The following is a 22,993-nucleotide window of genomic DNA, read 5'->3' on the forward strand; positions in this document are numbered from 1 at the left end:
TAGGGTGAGTTAGAAAAATAATCTAAATGGATCTATTACAAGCATAGAGACTGAGGCATGTCAAACAAGACAGTAGAAACCTAGCGCACCAGCCATATAGAAAGGAAGGGGCTATGGGCATTTGTTCTAAGTCTATAAAAAGGGTAATTACTTTGGAAAGTAGTTCATTTTCTGCCTCATAAAGGCAGCAGTAGATTAGTTATAAATAAGTAATGGCTCATAATTCATTAAAAGCAAGAGGAGGGAAAAAGTTTTAAGGAAGCATGAGTTTTAAGGATAACCTTTAAAATTCAAGACAATGCACTGGGACAGCAAAAGTCCCTCCCCAAACATGCATCAAAATAACCAAAAGGAGACATTGAGCTCCACATAACGGCAGTTTCTTCCAGCTCCCATCTGCAGTGGGCACATTCCTGGGTGTCGTCCTTCTTCCGTATGCACAGGCAGAACACCACACTTGGAATCAGAAGAATTAAATTCAAGTTGCTCCCTGTAATCTTAGACAAATCACTTAATGTCCTTCAGCCTCAGTTCTTCAGTTGCAAATGAGATAACAGCACCTGACTGACAGAGGGGTTTAAAGCTGCTTGTTTTATTCACTCAACAAACACACGATTTGTAATTGAAGTCCTATTTTGTTCCACGTCCTGGGGAAGGTGCTGAGGATGAATCCAGTGCCCCAGAATTCAAAGTACCTCCCTCCAGGGCTCACCCTAGACCAGCAGGGTCTGAATCTCTGGGTGTAGGGCCCAAGCATTGGTTTTTGGCTTTTTGTTTTTGAGACAGTCTTGCTTTGTTGCTCAGGCTGGAGTGGAGTGGTGTGTTTGTGGCTCACTTTAGTTTCAACCTCCTGGACTCAAGCAATCCTCCTTGCCTCAGCCTCTCAAGCAGCTGGGACCACAGGCATGCACCACCATGCTCAGCTAATTTTTAAAATGTTTGTAGAGACAGGTCTCACCGTATTGCTCAGGCTGGCACTAGTGTTTTTTACAAGATCCCCGAGTGAGCTCAGGGCTAAAGATTACAGGTGTAGGCAATAGTGGTAAGTATCCTAATGGAGGTAACATTAAATGGAAGTCAAGAGAGGCTTCAGTGAGCTAAGTCTTGAAGGAGGAGTGAGAGTTTGCCAGCAGAGGGAACCCAGTGAACAAAGGCAGGGTGCATTTGATCTGGTAGTTCAGAGTGGCTGAAGCCTGGGATGCATTTACTCAGGCTTGGGAGATGAGTTTGAGGTAGCAGTGAAGGCATAATGCTTGGGCAAAGGAGTGCTGGGCTCTCACAAACGCAATGGAAGTCCCTGCAGGTTTTAATATTGATATACTAGGAAAGTGGGGAAAGGATGCCCTATTCAATAAATGGTGCTGGGGAAACTGGCAAGACACATGTAGAAGAAGGAAACTGTATCCTCATCTCTCGCCTTATAAAAAATCAACTCAAGATGGATCAAAGACTTTTAAGTCTAAGACCTGAAGCCATAAAAATTCCAGAAGAAAGCATTGGAAAAACTCTTCCAGGCATTGGCTTAGGCGAAGAATTCATGACTAAGACCCCAAAAGCAAATGCAACAAAAACAAAAATAAATAGATGTGACCCAATTGAACTAAAAAGCTTCTGCACAGCAAAAGAAATAATCAGCAGAGTAAACAGACAACCCAGAGTGGGAGAAAATCTTCACAATCTATGCATCCAAAAAAGGACAAATATCCAGAATCTACAAGGAACTCAAATCAGCAAGTAATCCCGTCAAAAATTGGGCAAAAGATAAGAATAGACAATTCTCAAAAGAAGATGTGCAAACAGGCAACAAACATGAAAAAATGCTCAACATTACTAATCAGGGAAACACAAAACTACAATGAGATACCGTCTTACTACTGCAAGAATGGCCATAATTAAAAAATTAAAAAATAGATGTTGGCGTAGATGTGGTGAAAAGGGAACACTTCTGCACTGCTGGTGGGAATGTAAACTAGTACAACCACTATGGAAAACAGTATGGAAGCCAGGCACGGTGGCTCACGCCTGTAATCCCAGCACTTTGAGAGGCTGAGGTGGGTGGATCACCTGAGGTCAGGAGTTCGAGACCAGCCTGGCCAACATGGCGAAACCCCATCTCTACTAAAAATACAAAAATTAGCCACACATGGTGGCTTGTGCCTGTAGTCCCAGCTACTTGGGTGGCTGAGGCAGGAGAATCACTTGAACCTAGGAGGCAGAGGTTGCAGCGAGCCAAAATTGCACTACTGCACTCTAGCCTGGGCAAGAGAGCGAGACTCCATCTCAAAACAAAAAAAAAAGAGTGTGGAGATTGCTGAAAGAACTACCATTTGATCCAGCAATCCAACTACTGGGTATCTCCAAAAGAAAAGTCATTTTATGAAAAAGACACATGCACATGCATGTTTCTTGCACAATTCGCAATTGCAAAGATATGGAACCAACCTAAGTGCCTGTCAACAAACCCAGTGTATAAAGAAAATGTGGTATATATATATACACCATGGAATACTACTCAGCCATGAAATGGAATGAAATAATGGCCTTTGCAGCAACTTGGATGGAGCTAGAGGCTGTTATTCTAAGTGAAGTAACTCAGGAATGGAAAATCAAATATCGTATGTTCTCACTTAAAGTGGGAGCTAAGCTATGAGGATGCAAAAGCATAAGAATCATATAATGGACTTTGGGCACTCTGGGGGAAAGGTAGGAGGGGGGTGAAGGATAAAAGACTACATATTGGGTACAGTATACACTGCTTGGGTGATGGGTGCACCAAAATCCCAGAAATCACTAAAGAACTTATCCATGTAATCGAACACCACTTATATCCCCAAAAGTACTGAAATACAGAATTTTAAAAGTTTACATTAAATATATATATATATATACATTTCATTTTCATATGCTAGGAAGATTGTTCTGACTCTAGAAAGGGAGTGCAAACTGAAGGCAGAGCACCCTGTTACAGTCTTCCAGGTGATATGGCATAGGAAACAGGTACACAGATGGGAGGAATTATTATCCCCAGTTAGCACTGCTCATGCTCTTTCCTTGATGGGAGACACAAGGGGTGGAGAGGACTCCACACATTCTTCTTTTCAAAATCTGGAGCATCCCTAGGGAGCTGCCCCCGACCCCAAGGCAGGCTTCCTCCCAATGCAGCTTCTCTTCCAGACCTGTCCCTCTTCCTCCTTATTCCCAAGGAAATGATAATCTGTGCCTCTTGCTTTCAGAGCCCATTTGTGTGGAGTGGGTTTGGAGAGGTGGCCATGGCCAAAAGAAATGATCCTGATAGCAGAAATTTTGAGTACCTTTGTTCATACTTTTGTGAGATTGCAGTTTATTGTTTGTTTTGTTGTTTTATTTTGCCAAAGCATCCTGCTCCACCCAACACCAGAACGTGAATGACCCAACCACTATTCCTGTGACTCTGGGGGTTTTGTTCCCCCGTATGCTCTAGCAGCAGTGTTCCCCAGTTTGAGGTTGAAGCAGGACCACAAGGATGGGGATGGACATCACTGTGCCTCCTGGTGGCTGCACCCTTCCCAACCCTCGACACATATACAAACACTGGTCCAGCTCCCTGCAATGTCCTTGCTTTCTCCACCTGGGCAGATAAACTGACTCATTAGAGAAGAAGCTTAGGAGTTAAGGGCGCACATTTGAGCTCCAACTGCATGGATTCTATTTCTGGCTGGGTCACATATTAGCTGTGTTAACATTGGGCAAGTTTCTTAACTTCTCTGTGCCTCTGGTTTCTCACCTACAAATGTGATTTTTAAAAAACCCAACGATTGGCAGGGCACAGTGGCTCACGCCCGTAATCCCAGCACTTTGGGTGGCCAAAATGGGTGGGTCACTTGAGGTCAGGAGTTTGAGACCAGCCTGGCCAACATGGCGAAACGCCGTCTCTACTAAAAATACAAAAATTAGCCAGGCGTGGTGGCAGGCACCTGTAGTCCCAGCTACTGGAGGCTGAGTGGGGGGAATCTCTTGAACCCAGGAGGTGGAGGTTGCAGTGAGCTGAGATCGCAAAACTGCACTCCAGCCTGGGTGACAGAGCAAGACTCCATCTCAAAAAAAAAAAAAGATTTTTATCTCATGGCAGTGTGGTTAAGATAAAATGAGCTCCTAATCATAAAGCACTTAGGGTAATGCCCAATACAGAGCTGGCAATATGTGTTTGTTATTGTCACTTCCAATCCCAGCTCTAAAGCCCCTTCCTCTGTGAGGTTCATCAGTGTCCTGCAATGAATGGCCCCTCTGTTATCTCTTACCATTTGTATAGAAATTATCTGTCTATAGTAGTTCCTCTATCCACAGCTTTGCTTTCTGCAGTTTCAGTTACCCGCAGTCAACCACAGTATGAAAATACTAAGTGGAAAATTCCAGAAATGAACAATTCATAAATTTTAAATTGCACATCATTCTGAGCAGTATGATGAAATCTCATGCTGTCCTGCTCTGTCCTGGGCATCTCACTCCGTCCTGCCTGAGACATGAATCATTCCTTTGTCCAGCGTATCCAGCTGTCTCTACTCTCCACCGTTAATCACTTAGTAGCTGTCTCAGTTATCCGATTGATTGTCACTGTCTTGGGGTGTTTGTGGTCAAGTAACATTGTTAGCAATCAACAACAATCTTTCATTGTATTTTAAAGACTAGGATCTGATTCTTTCATATGTTGACAAAGGGCTTAGAAAGACAAAGACATTTCAATATTTCATTTTTTTTCCATTAAAACTTTGGCCTTACTTGTGGCATTTTCTTGCTGCAAATCCTATAAAATATTTAGTTTCCTAAGCACCTTGAAATTGAATCCTCATAAAGGAACTTCCGTCTGGAAATGTCAGGCATAATTTATTAACTCCTGTTTTTTGCATGTTGATTGTGATAGTACTGCAAATTCTGCAGCTCTGATTGGGAATGGACTGCAAATACAATATAGATATTGAAATAGACCAATTGCTTTCAAGGTAGAGGTAGAGGAAGTGGCTTGGAATCACTTTCAACTTTAGTGAATATGAGATCTGATGCACAGGATAATTTCAGCTCTCCAGGGCCTTAGCTGTTCCCTCTATCTGGTGTCCACCTGGCTAATGCCTTCACTCCTTGTAGGACTTTGCTCAAATCTAACATTATTTCACGTACAACCTATTTCATCCTCCTCAGGCACTCCTGACCTCCCCCACTTATGCTTTCTACTTTTGCTTTTTTCCAAACCATTTTAATACCTTCTATAGTCTACATAATTTATCTCCTTATGTTTATTATCTGTCTCACCCCAGTAGAATGTAAGCTCATGAGGGCAAGGACTTTTTGTTTTGTTTCAGGATGTAGCCCAAGTGCCTAGAGCATTTCCTGGCATGCAGTAGGTGCCCAATAAATATTGGTTGTATCAAAAGAAAAACTTATAACAAATTTAATTTAAAGATCAAATTGGCTTTTATTTACTATTTCAGAATCAGGCGACACTTCATTCTGAGACAGCCAAGTTAAAAGGGCTCCCCGGAGAATCTCCGACCTGTTTGCACACTGGGAAGATGGGGTGGAGCCTCAGGAAGTTTGTGCAGTTTGCAGGGTGAGGAGCCTGGCCTCTGCTGTTTCTGGGTGGTAACCAGGGATTCCATCTGTGAGGCGGGAAGCCTGCTAGCAGGATTCTCGCATTGCTGAGATTCCTTGTTTCCTTTTTTTCCTTTTCACCGAATAAACCCTGCCCTTCTCACCCTTCAAAGTGTCTGCAAGCCTAACCTTTCCTGGTCATGTGACAAGAACCCAGTTTTTCCTACAACAATTCTATAAAATAGAATGAATTTCCAATGAGCTGAGCAGAGGATGTTGGCTTTAGAGAGAGACAAGGGCTGAAGAAAGCAGATTGGTCATTTGTAAGTTACTTTCCATTTAGAATTTAAACAGAGGGGACTTTATTATACTGACACATATTGACCGGAATATCCTGGTTTTCTTTGGGAAACTGGCCTGTTTCAAGGTTCAGTTTGATTAAATGACACAGCACAAGTGACTCCATTCTGGTTTGGTTTGGTCTGCCGGTGCCTAGTGCAGGAGATAATCTAAAACAATGGCCTATGGTATTAGTTTGTTCTCGCACTACTATAAAGACATACCTGAGACTGGGTAATTTATGGAGAAAAGAAATTTAATTGACTTACAGTTCTGCAGGCTGTGCAGGAGGCATAGCTGGGGAGGCCTCGGGAAACTTACAATGATGGTGGAAGGCAAAGAGGAAGCAGGCACAATCTTCACATGGTAGAGCTGGAGAAAGAGAAGGGGGAAGTGCTACACACTTTTTTTTTTTTTTTGAAACAGGGTCTTACTCTGTTGCCCAGGCTGGAGTGTAGTGGCATGATCTTAGCTCACTGCAACCTCTGTTTCCTGGGTTCAAGCAATTCTCCAGCCTCACCCTCCCAAGTAGCTGAGACTACAAGCACGTGCTACCACACCCAGCTAATTTTTGTATTTTTTTGTAGGGACGAGGTTTTGCCATGTTGCCTAGGCTGGTCTCGAATTCCTGAGCTCAAAGTGGTTTGCCTGCCTTGGTCTCCCAAAGTGTTGGGATTATGCGCATGAGCCACTGCGCCTGGCCAGTGCTACACACTTTTAAACAACCAGATCTCATAAGAAGTCAGTCACTACCATGAGAACAGCAAAGGGGAAATCCACTCCCATGGTCCAATCACCACCCACCAGGTCCCTCCCACAACACTGGGGATTACAATTCAACACAAGATTTGGGTGGAGACACAAACACAAACCATATCACCTCCCATAAATTTTGTTTAACAATTCCCCTCTTTGGTCACTCTCACCTAGACCATTAGTGCTATTCTCAGTTACCATCACTTTGGGTTTCTGGTCTGAAAACATTATTTATAGGTTACAGTGTCCTCATTAACATACTTTTTTGGAGTTTTCTCAGAGCAAAGATAAATATCTAAGAGGGAAAAGCCACAGGGTTGGGTAGTGTAATGTTTTCACAATGTTTCTTTAATGCACAGAAGTTTTCTTAAGGCTGGCATGTACCCTAGTGTCAGAACTAACCCTTGCTGTGACTCAGCTTATCCTAACACAGGTTACTTATTTTTAGGTGGCAAGTGCTTTAAGCAATGTGTAGGTGCCTAACACTTGCCCAGCAGTCAAATTGTGGCTTTGGCCCTGAGATCCCTTGACCAACATAGCCAATGATATCTTCCTACATGGGCACACAAGAAAAATAAACGAAGAGGAAAGAAGTGAAATCGCTCAGAATTTCTGAGAGCCAGAGTTGCATACCTCCTGCAGTAACAGACACTTTTTGCAACTGCTGTCAGTTACCTTTAAAACTGCAGCTCTTGCCAGTTGCTCATCAGTCACCACAAATCCCAAAAGGTCATATGCTCTCTCAGTACAAACTAACCCTGGATTTGAAAGCCAAAAAGATTGGAGAATTTCAAGGGAGGGAGGCAACGCAAAAAAAAAAAAAAAGCGAGTCCAACCCTAGAAAAACTTATTTACAAACCTTGGGGGCTCATTGAGGAAGGCAGGGGACCTGAAAAGGGGTCAGCAGTGCCTGTCCTGCACTCCCCAAGGGGGCTCAGGAATCATCAGCAGTCTCCCTTGGTTCCTTTTGTGGTTGCCCAAAATGGTTAAAAGACAAAATTATAACAAATTTAGCTTAAAGATATAATTGACTTTTTAATTGTTTTTGAGGTGGAGTCTCACTCTGTTGCCCAGGCTGAAGTGCAGTGGCACAATCTCGGCTCACTGCAACCTCTGCCTCCCGGGTTCAAGTGATTCTCCTGCATTAGCCTCCCTAGTAGCTGGGGCTACAGGCACGCACCACTATGCCTAGCTAACTTTTGTGTTTTTAGTAGAGATGGGCTTTCACCATGTTGGCCAGGGTGATCTCGAACTCCTGACCTCAGGTAATTCACCTGCCCCGGCCTCCCAAAGTTCTGGGATTACAGGTGTGAGCCACTGCACCGGGCCAGCTTTTATTTGTGATTCTAGAATTCTCATTTTAGAAAATAGAATGAGTTCAAGGAGCTGAGCATATGAATGTGACTTTATAATAGACAGAAAAGGGCTGAAGAAGGCGGAAATATTGAACAAAGAGCAGATGTGTTGTTTCAAAGTTACTTTCTTTAAAAGGATAAAACAGAGGGGATTTCTTTATCACACTGTCTGGTTGACTGAAATCTCCTATATTTTTGGAAAACTGGCCCCTTTGAAAGTTCAGTTAGATTATGTGACACTTAGCAAAAATGACTCCATTCTGATTTGGTCTGGTCTGCTGAGGCCTCATGTCAGAGGCTAGGACAAAACAGTGAACTCCCATAAAATTTGTTGAATAATTATATCAACTGCCAGGTCCCCAGCAATCGCCGATATTACCGACTAATAAGGCAAGGCTGAGTTTATTGCTCACTGCAGTGAGGGAGGGCACCTTGACCGAGCTTGCATAGGGTCTTGAAGGGAGAAAGAAAGACAAATTTATTGAGAACTTGAAGTTTGGTTTAAGGCAAGTCTTTCAATGGAGGGAGGAAAGCTGTTGAGAATGTTTTAATATCTTTATCTGTTTCTATTTTCCTACACGAAAACATAAGGATTCTGATATAGGGAAAGAATAACTCCCCTAGGTTCTAAACTGGAATAGACCCCTGTTACAAAAGACAGATTAAATAAGAGGAAAACAAACAGAAGTGTATTAACATGTATATTTCATATATACATGGGAGACACCCAGAGAATGAGTAGTTTTCAAAGAGGTGCGTTAGAATTCCAGTTCAAACAGTACATTTTTAGGATGTGACAAGACAAAGGAAAAGGACGTTGAGTCTCTAAGGGCAGCAACTTGGAGGAAGGAAATGAGTGGCAATAAAGGCCAGTAAGTAAAGCTTGTTAATGTAGATTCTTCTGGTATCATCTCTAGGCCAATAAGGGTCCGAAGTTGTCTTTGGTAGTTAATATTTTTGCTCTTCCCAGTAGAAGGTGGGGCAGGATACCTTTTGTTTTTGTAAATCTATGTCCTGCTTTTAGGCAAATAGAGGGAGGGCAGAGAGCTTTCTTGCATCTGCTGCTTCTTCATTGCCTTCAGCTCAACAATCCTTCATATTTTCCTGTGGCATATTTCTGATCTCCCACACTGGATCAAGGAAAATTATTATTACTTATTATAGCCGTAACTGCTGCAGTTCCCCACACCCCAGTTATTCCCTCTTCTGAGGTGATGTGATGAGGGCCAGATGGCTGGGCTCTGTGTATAAAGGGGTCTTCTTGTACTACAAGAGAGGAACCCTGAAATTATCCATCTGGCAGTTTACATAGGATGGCTTGCCCAGCAGGTTTTCTGAGAGAAAAAAAAAAAAAATCTCTGCTATAAAGAAAATCTCCTTGGAAAGAGAAGGGGAAGAGCCCTTTGGAATGTAAATACATGTCTCTGGGGAAAGATAAGACAAGCTTGGCAGAGTTTACAACCTTGGAATGGCTCCATGTCTGGGTTTTATTCTCCTTTGAATCTGGTTCTTACTCTCCTTTGAAATGTAAACACATACCTCCATGGAAGTACCTCCAGGGAGATAAATCTTTCAGGAGTTCTCCGGTGATCCAATTACCCTTTAACTTCCAAGATTTGTCCTTTAACCCAGATTCCAGTAAAATTTACTCAAGAAGAAGCCTAACAATGCAGAAACATGAAAATGTTTACTTCCTGACATGACCTTGATTAGGACTTGATAAGGATCATGATCTAACAGTTATGGAAATAAATGAAGGCCACTCAAAGGAGACGAGGCAAAGGCTATTTATTTGGAGCTTACTATAGCAAGGAAATCAGCCACCATCACTTGCAGTTGGCATTGACTCAAAGGAAGGCAGAGGAGTGGGAACACTTTATATTGGGAAAAAGGGCATTCATGCATGCCCTGATTGGAGGCTGTTGGCAATGGGAGGTTAAATGCAGATTGATCAAAATTGGGGCATTCCATTGATTGGTTAGGGGTGCATATTTAGCTTTCTCCAGTTGGTCCTAAGTTGGAAGCAGGGACAAAAATGAGGTAAGTTGGCAGTTATTAATAAGTCCTGGCTGTTTGGGGTCAATTGTGACAGGGTTATTTTTTGGCTCCTCGGACTGTTTGTAGAGATAGTGGTCTAATTTCTTATGTATTAGTCTGTTCTCATACTGCTAATAAAGACATACCCGGGACGGGGTAATTTATAAAGAAAAAGAGGTTTAATGGACTCACAATCATGGCAGAAGGTGAAAGAGGAGCAAAGGCATGTCTTACATGGTGGCAGGCAAGAGAGCATGTGCAGGGTGTAAGGTCCTCTGAGCTGGCTGCACCATGGTCAAGCCATCGTGACATTCCCCTGCCCTTGTGATAATGTACTTTGTGATATTCCCAGTCCTTGTGAATGTACTTTGTAACATCCTCCCCGCCCTTGTGAATGTACTTTGTAACATCCTCTCTGCCCTTGAGAATGTACTTTGTAACATCCATCCCCTGCCTGCAAAAAATTGCTCCTAAATCTACCACCTATCCCAAACCTAAAAGAACCAATGATAATCCCACCACTCTTCACTGACTCCTTTCTCAGACTCAGCCCACTTGCACCCAAGTGAATAAACAGCCTTGTTGCTCACACTAAGCCTGCTCAGGTGGTCTCTTGCATGGACATGCATAACATTTGGTGCTGAAACCCAGGACAGGGGAACTCCTTCGGGAGAGCGGTCCCCTGTCCTCACACTCCCTCTGTGAGGAGATCCACCTACAACCTCAGGTCATCAGACCAGCCAGCCCAAGGATCATCTCACCAATTTCAAATTGGTAAGCAGTTTTTCACACTCAGATAAGTGGCTTTTTCACTCTCTACCTAACCTCTCTCACTTCCCTTCAATCTCTCTTCTTTCAACTTCAGTTTCTCTCCCTTCCTGGTAGAGACAAAAAGCAGACAGACTTTATCCGTGCATTCAAAAACTCCGACGTCGGTCATGGACTTGGGAAGACAGTCTTCCCTTGGTGTCTGATCTCCACGGGGACACCTGCCTTGATCATTCACCCACATTCCCTTGGTGGCAGGTCAATTGCAGGGATGCCTGCTTTGGCTGCTCACCCACATTACAGCCCAGGACTCAGTCAGAGATGCCTACCGAAGCCTGGTAGCTGCCCACCTCCATTTCTCTGTGTCTCTACCTTCCTCTTTAAACTTACCTTCTCCACTATGGGCAACCTTCCGCCATCCATTCCTCCCTCTTCCTCCTTAGCCTGTATTCTTAAAAACCTAAAACCCCTTTGACTAACACCTGACCTAAAACCTAAATGTCTTATTTTCTTCTGTAATACTGCTTGGCCCCAATACAAATTCGACAATAGTTCCAAGTGGCCAGAGAATGGCACTTTTGATGTATCTATCCTACAAGACCTAGATAATTTTTGTTGAAAATTGGGCAAATGGTCTGAGGTGCCTTACGTCAAGGCATTTTTTACACTTTGCTCTTTCCCTAGTCTCTGCTCCAGATGCGACTCATTCCAGATTTTCCTCCTTTCTCTCCCATCTGCTCTTTAGGTCTCCACCCAAGCTCAGAGTCCTCTGAATCCTCCTTTTCCACTGACCCCTCTGACCTCTCTCCTCCTTCCCCAGCCGCTCCTCACCAGGCTGAATCGGGCCCCAATTCTTCCACAGCCTCTGCTCCCCAACCCTATAACCCTTCTATTAACTCCCTTCCTCACACCCAGGCTGGCTTACAGTTTCGTTCTGCGACTAGTTTTCCCCCACCTGCCCAACAATTTCCTCTTAGAGAGGTGGCTGGAGCTGAAGGCATAGTCAGGGTACATGTGCCTTTTTCTCTGTCAGACCTTTTCCAAATCAGCCAGCATTTAGGCTCTTTCTCATCAGACACCACTAAATACATACAGGAATTCCAATATCTAACTCAGTCCTACAATTTAACCTGGAGTGACTTAAATGACACCCTGACCTCTACCCTCTTCCCAGGTGAATGAGAAAGAGTTTATTTTCTAGCCCAGTCCTATGCAGACACCTGCCGGCTTCATGAGCCAGGCCTCCAAGAGGGCACCAGAGCAGTTCCCCGAGGGGATCCCCATTGGCAATACCAGATGGATTCCCCAGGTATAGCTAGGTGAGATTACATGGTCTCCTACCTAGTCAAGGGGCTCAAAAAGGCAGCATACAAAGCTTTTAATTATGACAAGTTAAAGGAAACTACCCAAGGTAAAGATGAAAACCCAGCCCAGTTCATGGCCTGCTTAGCAGCTACCCTTAGACGCTTTACAGCCCTAGACCCAGAGGGTCCAGAAGAATTCCTTATCCTTAATATGCATTTTATCACCCAATCCACTCCTGACATTAGAAAAAAACTCCAAAAGTTGGATTCTGGCCCTCAAACCCCACAACAGGATTTAATAAACCTTGCCTTCAAGGTGTTCAATAACAGAGAAGAAGCCGCCAAGCAGCAATGTATCTCTGAGTTACAGCCACTTGCCTCCGCTGTAAGACAACCCACAACCACGTCTCCAGCATACAAAACCTTCAGAACATCCAAGCCACAGCTCCCAGGGGCTCCTTTAAAACCTCCTCGTGGACCTTGCTTCAAATGCCAAAAGTCTGGCCACTGGGCCTCAGAATGCCCACAGCCTGGGATTCCTCCTAAGCCATGCGCTATCTGCACAGGCCCCCACTGGAAGTCGGATGTCCAACTCACATCACTGCAGCTCCTAAAGCTCCTGGAGCTCAAATCCAATGTTCCTTGGCTGACTCCTTCCCAGATCTCCTCAGCTTAGCGGCTGAAGACTGACACTGCCTGATCGCCTCAGAAGCCGCTGGACCATCACCGATGTTGAGCTTTGGGTAACTCTTACAGTGGAGGGTAAGTCCATCCCCTGTTTAATCAATACAGGGGATACCCACTCCACATTACCTTCTTTTCAAGGGCCCATTTCCCTTGCCCCCATAACAACTGTTGTGGGTATTGATGGCCAGGCTTCTAGACCCCTTAAAACTCCCCAACTCTGGTGCCAACTTGGACAACATTATTTTATGCACTGCTTTTTAGTTATCACCACCTGCCCAGTTCCCTTGTTAGGCTGAGCCATTTTAACTAAATTATCTGCTTCCCTGACTATTCCTGGACTACAGCCACACCTCATTGCTGCCCTTTTGCCCAATCCAATGCCTCTTTTGAATCTTCCTCTCGTGTCTCCCTACCTTAATCCACAAGTATAGGACACCTCTACTCCCTCCTTGGTGACCGATCAGGCACCCCTTATCCCATTAAAACCTAATCACCCTTACCCTGCTCAACACCAGCACCCCATCCCACAACAGGCTTTAAGAGGAGTAAAGCCTGTTATCACTCACCTGTTACAGCATGGCCTTTTAAAGCCTACAAATTCTCCTTACAACTCCCTTATCCTACCTGTCCAGAAACTGGACAAATCTTACAGGCTGGTTCAGGATCTTCACCTTATTAACCAAATTGTCTTACCTATCCATCCTGTGGTGCTAAACCCGTATACTCTCCTATCTTCAATACCTCCCTCCATAACTCATTATTCCATCCTCGATCTCAAAGAAGCTCTCTCCACTATTCCTTTGCACCCCTCATCCCAACCTCCTCTCGCTTTCACATGGACTGACCCTGACACCCACAAATCTCAGCAACTCACCTGGACTGTACTGCCACAAGGCTTCAGAGACAGCCCCCATTACTTTAGTCAAGCTCTTTCTCATGATCTACTTTCTTTCCGTCCATCTGTTTCTCACCTTATTCAATATATGGGCGACCTTCTCCTCTGCAGCCCCTCTTATGAATCTTCCTAACAGGATACCCTCCTGCTCCTTCAACATCTATTCTGAAAGGGGTATTGCGTATCCCCTTCTAAAGCCCAAATTTCTTCCCCATCCATTACGTATCTCGGCATAGTCCTTCATCAAAACACATGTGCTCTCCCTGCTAATCATGTCCAGCTAATCTCCAAAACCCTAACCCCTTCTACAAAGCCACAACTCATTTCCTTCCTAGGCATGGTTGGATACTTTCGCCTTTGGATACCAGGTTTTGCCATCCTAACTAAACCACTATATAAACTCACAAAGGAAAACCTGACTGACCCCATAGACCCTAAGTCCTTTCCCCACTCTTCTTTTCATTCCTTAAAGATGTCCTAGAAACAGCTCCCACATTAACACTCCCTAACTCGTCCCAATCCTTCTTCTTACATACGGCTGAAATACATGGCTGTGCGGTCGGAGTTCTTACACAGGAACCAGGCCCACGACCTGTAGCCTTCCTATCCAAACAACTTAACTTCACAGTTCTAGACTGGCCCTCATGTCTACGTGAGGCGGCAGCCACCACTTCAATACTTCTAGAGGTCCTCAAGGTCACAAACCATGTCCCACTTACTCTTTACATCTCTCATAACTTTCAAAATCTATTTTCCTCCTCACACTTGGCGCATATACTTTCTGCCCCCCGACTCCTCCAATTTTACTCACTATTCATTGAAACTCCCTACATCACCATGCTGTTATATGGGCAGAAAGAGGTTTTGTCACTACACAAGTGTCCTCCATCATCAACGCTTCCTTAATAAAAATCCTCCTTAAGGCTGCTCTACTGCCTAAGGAAGCCAGAGTCATTCACTGCAAGGGGCCTCAGAGGTCACCAAATCCCATTACTCAAGGCAATGCTTATGCTGATAATGCAGCAAAAGAAGCAGCTAGTATTCCCACATCTGTCCCTCACGGCCAGTTTTTTTCCTTCACTCCCACATATTCTCCCACTGAAACTATTATCTATTAATCCCTTCCTACTCAAGGCAAATGGTTCTTGGATCAAGGAAAATACCTCCTTCCTGCCTCACAGGCTCATTCTATCTTATCTTCCTTTCATAACCTCTTTCATGTGGGTTACAAGCCAATGGCCCATCTCTTAGAACCTCTCATTTCTTTTCCATCATGGAAATCCATCCTCAAGGAAATTACTTCTCAGCATTCCATCTGCTACTCTACCACCCCTCAGGGATATCTCAGGCCTCCTTCCTTTCCTGTACATCAAGCTTGAGGATTTGCCCCCACCCAAGACTGGCAGGTTGACTTTATCCATATGCACCGAGTCAAAACACTAAGATACCGTTTGGTCTGGGTAGATACATTCACTGGATGGGTAGAGGCCTTTCCCACAGGGTCTGAGAAGGCCACTGCAGTCATTTCTTCCCTCCTGTCATATTGGCCTTCCCACCTCTATATAGTGCAATAACGGACCAGCCTTCATTAGGTCACTCAAGCAGTCTCCCAGGCCCTTGGCATCCAGTGGAACCCTCATGCCCCTTACCGTCCTCAATCTTCAGGAAAGGTAGAAAGAACTAATGGTCTTTTAAAAACACACCTCACCAAGCTCAGCCTACAACTTAAAAAAGACTGCACAGTACTTTTACCGTTTGCCCTCCTTAGAATTAGAACCTGTCCTTGAGAAGCTATAGGGTATAGTCCATTTGAACTTTTATATGGATGTACCTTCTTGTTGGGCCCCAACCTTGTGCCAGACACCAGCCCTCTAGGCGACTATCTTCCAGTCCTCCAGCAGGCTAGACAGGAAATTTGCCAGGCTGCTAATCTTCTCTTGCCTACTCCAGATTCCCAGCGATACAAAGATACCCCTGCTGGATTATCAGTTCTTGTTAAGAATCTGACCCCTCAAACTCTACAACCTTGATGGACTGGACCCTACTTAGTCATCTATAGTACCCCAACTGCCATGCACCTGCAGGACCCTCCCCATTGGGTTCACCATTCCAGAATAAAGCTGTGTCCATCGGACAGCCAGCCTGATCTCTCCTCTTCCTCCTGGAAGTCACAAGTACTCTCCCCTACTTCCCTTAAACTCACCTGCATTTCTGAATAACAGTAATAACCCTTATGAGCCTAATACATCCCTTCATTCTATTAGGTCTATTCATCCTTACCCTACTTTTTGCAATGGGGCTTTACGCAGTCACCTGCACTACTTGGACTGCACCCCAAAAACTTGTCATCCCTACTATCTTCTGTCTAGTCATACACCTATTCACCATTCTCAACTACTCATAAATGCCTTGCCCTTGTTTACACTGCCGGTTTACACTTTTCCTCCAGACCATCATAACTGATATCTCCCGGTTTTACCTCAAACCGCCACCCTTAACTCTCTCTTGGAGTGGATAGAAGATCTTCAATGGCAAGATACACTCCAATTCTTCTATCCTGATGAAGTGCTTTTTTTTTTACTTTTCTACTCACTCTTATCCTTACCTCCATTCTCCAGTCACTCTCTACCTCTCTCTAGTTACCTCCAGCATACTATCAGTCTCACCCACTCTCTCCTCACTGCCTCCAATCCCTCTCTAGCAAAGAATTGTTGGCTATGCATTTCCCTTTCTTCCTGCTCTTACACAGCCATCCCCGCTCTGTAGGCTGACTGGGCTACCTCTCCTGTCTGCCTGCACCTCCGAACCTCCTTTAATAGCCCTCATCTTTACCCACCTGAGGAAATTCTTTACTTTCTAGACAGATTTGGTGAGAACTCCCCAGACATTTCGCACCAACAAGCTGCCACATTTCTCCGCATCTAGTTACAGCACCTTTTTCCTTATGTCAATTCCACCCTCACCCCCCATATTTGGACCCCTCAGCACACAAACAACCATCCCTGTGGCTGCTCCTTTATGCATCTCCCGACAACACCCTACTGGAATCACTTTAGGCAACCTTCCACCATCCAAATGTTCCTTTACTCTTCATCTTCAGAACCCAGCCACACACATTACCAAACAGATGGGAGGATTCCAACTTCGCATTACCGATAAGCCCTCTATCATTACTGACAAACTAAAAAACATTGGCAGTCACTATTGTTTAGGAAGACACCTACCCTGCATCTCACTCCATCCTTCGCTACCCTCCATCTGCTCATCTGACTCTCCTCCTGGCCCCTCCTCTTGTTTGCTTATACCCAGCCCCATGAATAGTAGTGAAAGGTTACTCATAGACACTATGTTCTTTCTCATACACCATAAGAACCGAACCTCTCCCTCTATGCAGTTGCACCATCAATCCCCATTACAACCTCTAATGGCTGCTTCCCTTGCTGGATCTCTAGGATTTTGGGTGCAGGACTCCTCTTTCAGTACACCCTCTCACCTTTTCACTTTATATTTCCGGTTCTGCCTGACACTAGGTCTCTTCTTTTTATGTGGCTCTTCCACCTACATGTGCCTACCTGCCAACTGGATGGACACACGTACTCTAGTCTTCCTTACCCCCAAAATCCAGTTTGCAGATGGGAATGAAAAACTGCCTGTCCCCCTCATGACATCAACACAACAAAAAAAAGTCATCCCACTAATCCCTTTACTTGTGGGTCTAGGACTTTCTGCCTCCACTATTGCACTTGGAACTGGAATAGCAGGCATTTCAATCTCTGTCACAACATTTTGCAGCCTCTCTAATGACTTCTCTGCTAGCATTACAGATATGTCACAGACGTTATCTGTCCTCCAAGCCCAGGTTGACTCTTTAGCTTCAGTTATCCTCCAGAACTGCCGGGGCCTCGATTTACTTGCTGCTGAAAAAGGAGGACTCTGTATATTTCTTAATGAAGAGTGTTGTTTTTACTTAAATCAATCTGGCCTGGTATATGATAACATCAAAAAACTCAAAGACAGCTCAAAAACTCGCTAATCAGGCAACTAATCATGCTGGATCCACCTGGCCACTCTCTAACTGGGTATCCTGGCGTCTTCCAATCGTTAGTCCTCTAATATCTATCTTCCTCCTCCTTTTATTTAGGCCTTGTGTCTTCCCAATTAAACTCTCAATTCCTATGAAACTGCATCCAGGCTATCACTAATCACTCTATATGACAAATGCTGCTTTGAACAGCCCCACAGTATCACCCCTTACCCCAAAATCTTACTTCAATCTAATCTCTCCCACTTTAGGTTCCCACACCGCCCCAATCCTGCTCGAAGCCACCCTGAGAAACATCACCCTCACCCCTCCATACCGCCCCCAAAATTTTCACCCCAAGTTTTCACTACTCTTTCTCGTTTTATTTCTTAATTATTAATATAAAAAGACAAGAATGTAAGGTCCTCTGAGCTGGCCGTACCATGGTCAAGCCATTGTGACATTCCCCTGCCCTTGTGATAATGTACTCTGTGATATTCCCCATCCTTGAGAATGTACTTTGTAACATCCATCCCCTGCCTGCAAAAAATTGCTCCTAGCTCCACCGCCTACCCCAAACCTATAAGAACCAATGATAATCCCACCACCCTTTGCTGACTCCTTTCTCAGACTCAGCCCACTTTCACCCAAGTGAATAAACAGCTTTGTTGCTCACACTAAGCCTGCTCAGGTGGTCTCTTATATGGACGCACGTAACGAAGGGGAACTACCCTTTTTAAAACCATCAGATCTTGTGAGAATTACTCACTATCATGAGAACAGCATGGGAAAACCCACCCCCATGATTCAATTACCTCCCACTGGGTCCTTCCCACGACACGTGGAGATTATGGGAGCTATAATTCAAAATGAGATTTGGGTGGGGACACAGCCAAACCATGTCAACATCTAACTTGTAGATGGCAGTTTGGATTTCTAGGCTGCTTAATGTCATTAAAAAGCTGATTTCCTCAGCTGGCTGCTACAGATTGTAGATCAGAGTTCTATTTTTATGTATGGTCTGGCCATTGTCTATTTTCCTATTCAGTCTCTCACAGTTTAGAGTTGGGGAAATAACAAGGCAAAGATTTTAAAGCAAGGAAGTTTTAGGACATAAGCTGTCTGTTGCTGTTCCCTATTGAAGAATTGATGAATCCTTTGCGAAGTTCCTAGAATGAACAATCAGGTTGCTTGCTTGAGTGAGACTATCCTGAAATGGTAAAGTTGTGCTAGTGAGGATAATGAAATAGTAAAGTTGTGTTAATGTAGACAGTATGGTAGGGGACAGAGGCAGAAAGATAGGTGGTTTTGGTTTTCGGTTGAGTGAATTGAAAGCATGGGGACAAGCATCTGTCTAGTTTAGCAGATATTCCTCAATGTTACTTCCTCTTCACTTCCACTTAGCTGTGCGTGATGCTGTAAGAAAGGTGTAAATATTCCTATGTTACACAGATGAAGATTCAGAGCTTAAATAAGTTGTCCAAGGTCACACTTGAATTGTAGTAAAGTCAGAATTCAAGCCCAATTCTGCAGGACTCCAAAGCCCCATGCTCTTTCCAGAATACCATCATGCTACCTTACATAAATTTAAGTATTACCCAAATCACCTTTTCATTGCTGTGCATGTGTGTGAATGTGTATATTAATATGTATGTCTTTTGGGGAAAGAAAAATAGTGAGATGGACCTTGGTGTGCCACAAAATAAACACGTTTTGAATTTAGGGGTTTTTTTTCTGAGTGTTTTTGGGAGTGAGCTCAATATTTAAACTTGTATTAGCTCTTCATTTCAAATATTCTCTGTTCTAATAGAAGGCCCTTTTAGCTACTGAACTGTAACATATATCTTCTTAATACATGCTTTCTGCCTTTTATTTAATTAAGAACAATTGGTAAAATTAGCTAGATTTAACTTTAAATAATTAAAAGTATGTAATTCTTGGGAATGATTTCAGATTTTGCAAGTAATATGCAGTTTTTAAGAACGATGGAAATAAAACTTCAGGCTGTGCCTAGATTTACAGTCTTCACAGTTTGTAGTCTATGCTGCTGGCAATTTTACTTAGCTGGCACACACTCCACAGAACATCATTTTATCTTTTAAAAACAATTACAATTATAATTAGTATTGTTATTACTTTCTTAGCCACGACAGGAGAATGCAATGATCCAGCCTCCAGTTCATCAACGTGAAATGCTGAGAATGCAGCCATGTTAGGCTGCCAGAATGGACTCCATGTTGCCTTCAGCTGAGCTAAACTCTGAAACGATGGGTAGGAAAAAACCTCAGGAACAATATCACATTTGAGGAGAGGGAGTCCCCCCTAGAGGCCACACTTGTAATTTTCTTTTCTTCTTCACTGAGAGGTTATCAGCTTCATCAGTTGCACCCAAACCTGGCTGTACATTGGGATCACCTGGGGAGCTTTGAAAATTTCTGATGCCCAGGCTGTACCCCAGACCAATTAAATCAGAAGCTCTGTGGGTGGGGGCCAGGTGCGGTGGCTCACGCCTGTATTCCCAGCACTTTGGGAGGACAAGGCAGGCAGATCACCTGAGGTCAGGAGTCCGAGACCAGCCTGACCAACATGGAGAAACCCTGTCTCTACTAAAAATACAAAATTAGCCGGGTGTGGTGGCACATGCCTGTAATCCTAGCTACTCAGGAGGCTGAGGCAGGAGAATCACTTGAACTCAGGAGGCGGAGGTTGTGGTGAGCCGAGATCACGCGCCATTGCACTCCAGCCTGCGCAACAAGAGTGAAACTCCATCTTAAAAAAAAAAAAAAAAAAAAAAGCTCTGTGGGTGGGGCAGGCATTAGTAGCTTCCAAAGCTCCTGTTAAAGAAAATATTATTCAATGATATTTGTTTAAGTATTCTAAAGAAGACCTCATTCAGGACCATCATGACAGGTGTAAGGACCACTGCAATGGAATTTTGCAGCGTGAAGAGTGATTGGGCTCAACTTTGACTACAGCATGGGCAAGTGGAAATTTAAAGCCAAGGAGCAGGGTGGGGCCCATGGATGCAAAGTTACTAAGAGGAAATATCAGGAATAAAGGAGATTCTAGCTAAACCAGCTTAATAGGATTCTTGCTGAAGACAGGCCTGGATGTCTTCAACCAGTGGGATGGTGGAGGATGAGGAACCCAATCCAATATTGAGGTTTGATCAGACATCAAGGGTGAAGGGATGACCTAGCAGGGATCTTTGCTGAAGCTGAATTGTAAGTGCACAGATAGGCTTAGGAAGATGTTCAGGAGTCTGACTAAAGTTTGGTCAGGCAAAGAATCTTTGTCACTCCCTAGATGATTCCAACTTGCAGTCAAGTTGAAGAACCAGTGAATGACAGCACGTTGCAGGTGGGTTTCAGAAACTCCCTGAGAATCTCTAAGGGTAGCTCCAGATAATATCCTGGACAGAGGTGGACAATGGGGAGGCGATCACAGTGGATCTGGGCTATGAGGTGTCAGATGCTGGTACCAGTCCTAAGTCTGCACATAGGACTGGCTCGTGCTCTGGGATGTGGCTGCATGTAAGCATTGGACAAACTGACCACTACAGTACTCGACAGACACTGGATCCAAGCCTGCAGGACCTAAGGACTAGTGGGGATTGGCCTTCTTTGGAATAACTGCTTCTGTAGTAGCTGGCAGAGCTGCAGGTTACTGCTTTATAAGAGTGAGCACTACCTTGCAGCTCCATAACCCACATGTCAGGTTGGCCTTGGGCACTACCATCCACATACCCAGCACTTCTGAGCAGCCCTGGCCAGCCTCTGCAGCCAGCTGTCCCCAGCTTCTGTGACCATGTTCAGGGAAGGAACAAACAGGCAGCTTACAGCTGAAGGTTTGCATTTGTCTATTTAGGAACAAGGACACATAGCCACATGGCATGCAAGGCAGCTTTTTAAAAGAAGCAGTACACCTCCTCAGTAGACACACGTCCAGATGGGGCCACACCATACAGGTTCCACTAATGACTTAGATGCACTAGGCACCCCAGGCACATCAGGGAGAGAGACGTGGGAGCCTTGTCAGGGTAGCCTGGACTTTTAGATTTCCCCTCTTACTATGGTTGATGAGAAAGATCAAGTATTTACACACCGCAGACCAATGGAGCATATTTGTTGTATCCAAATGGAATAGAACAGTTGTTTTCAATCTGTACTACTCCACAACATTAAGACTTTTTTCTATTTTCTCAAAGTTTCAGCAGAAGTGTTACAAAAGAGGCCCCAGAGAGCTGCCTTGTCCTTTCCACAATGTGAAGATACAGCAAGAAGATGCAGTTTCTATGAACAAGGAAACAGGCCCTCACCAGATAGCCAATCTGCGGTGCTTTGATCTTGCACTTCCCAGCCTCTAGGACTGTGAGAAATAAATTTCTTTTGTTTATATTCTACCCATTTTATGGTCTTCTGTTACAGCAACATGAACAGACTAAGACAACCCTCACGACCAAATTACTTCCTAAAGGCTCTGCTTCTAATATCATCACATTGGGGGGTAGGATTTAAACATATGAATTTGGAGGGGACACAAACATTCAGTCCATAACAGATGAGAATGAGGTTAGAAGGTTAGAGGAGGCAGTTGATCACAAATTATTTGAAACCATTTCTAGTATTCTGTGATTAAGAAACAGAAGCTATTTTAGAGATATAGTTTAGGCCTCCACTATTCCCACTTTATAACTAGAGAAACCTAACTCTCCAGCAGCCACATGCCCAGAGTCACAAAGTGATTAGCAGTGTGCTGGGACTACAATAATCATCTCTTAGCTCCAAGCCTCATGCGCTTTCCATGCCACCAGACTGACTCATAGTAACCTGACTGTCATAGGAATACTACTTCTTTCAACTGGATTCAGAAAATAGTTAAGCAGATTCTAAATCAGGCTAGGATATTAAATCCAAACAGCCTGTGTGGAAATAAAGACCAACCACATGAGAACAGGGAGTGGATATGCATTCAGAGATTACTATAGTGAGGGAGTCATCCCTTGCATTTTGGCAGAGATTCAAAGGCAGGCAGAGGAGTGGGAAAGCTTTATAGTAGGGAAAAAGAGAATTCATGTGTACCCTGATTGGAAGCTGTTGGCATGGGGAAGCTGCAGACAGACTACCTATAAATGAGGCATCCTGTGTAATGTTTAGGGGTGCATATTTGACTTTTTCTGGTAGTTCCTAAGTTGGAAGTAGAAAAATTAAAGAAGCTGTCAATTATTGAAGCAAGTGCTGGCCATTTGAGGCCAATTGTTACAGGAGTT

General features: G+C 44.1%; 1 long non-coding RNA gene across 1 annotated transcript in view; it reads right to left on the reverse strand.

Annotated features, from left to right (window-relative positions):
* Positions 1–8,679: 8,679 nt before the first annotated feature.
* LOC105373109 (uncharacterized) overlaps positions 8,680–22,993 on the reverse strand; it is a 45,784-nt gene continuing 31,470 nt past the window's right edge. Inside the window, exons 2-3 of the long non-coding RNA XR_949207.2 lie at positions 9,552–9,673; positions 8,680–9,142 (exon numbers count right to left, since the gene is read on the reverse strand). This is a non-coding gene — a long non-coding RNA (uncharacterized LOC105373109). The remainder of the gene's footprint in view (positions 9,143–9,551; positions 9,674–22,993) is intronic.

This window comes from Homo sapiens, chromosome 1 (genome assembly GCF_000001405.40).
Source record: "Homo sapiens chromosome 1, GRCh38.p14 Primary Assembly".
Taxonomy (NCBI): Eukaryota; Metazoa; Chordata; class Mammalia; order Primates; family Hominidae; genus Homo; species Homo sapiens.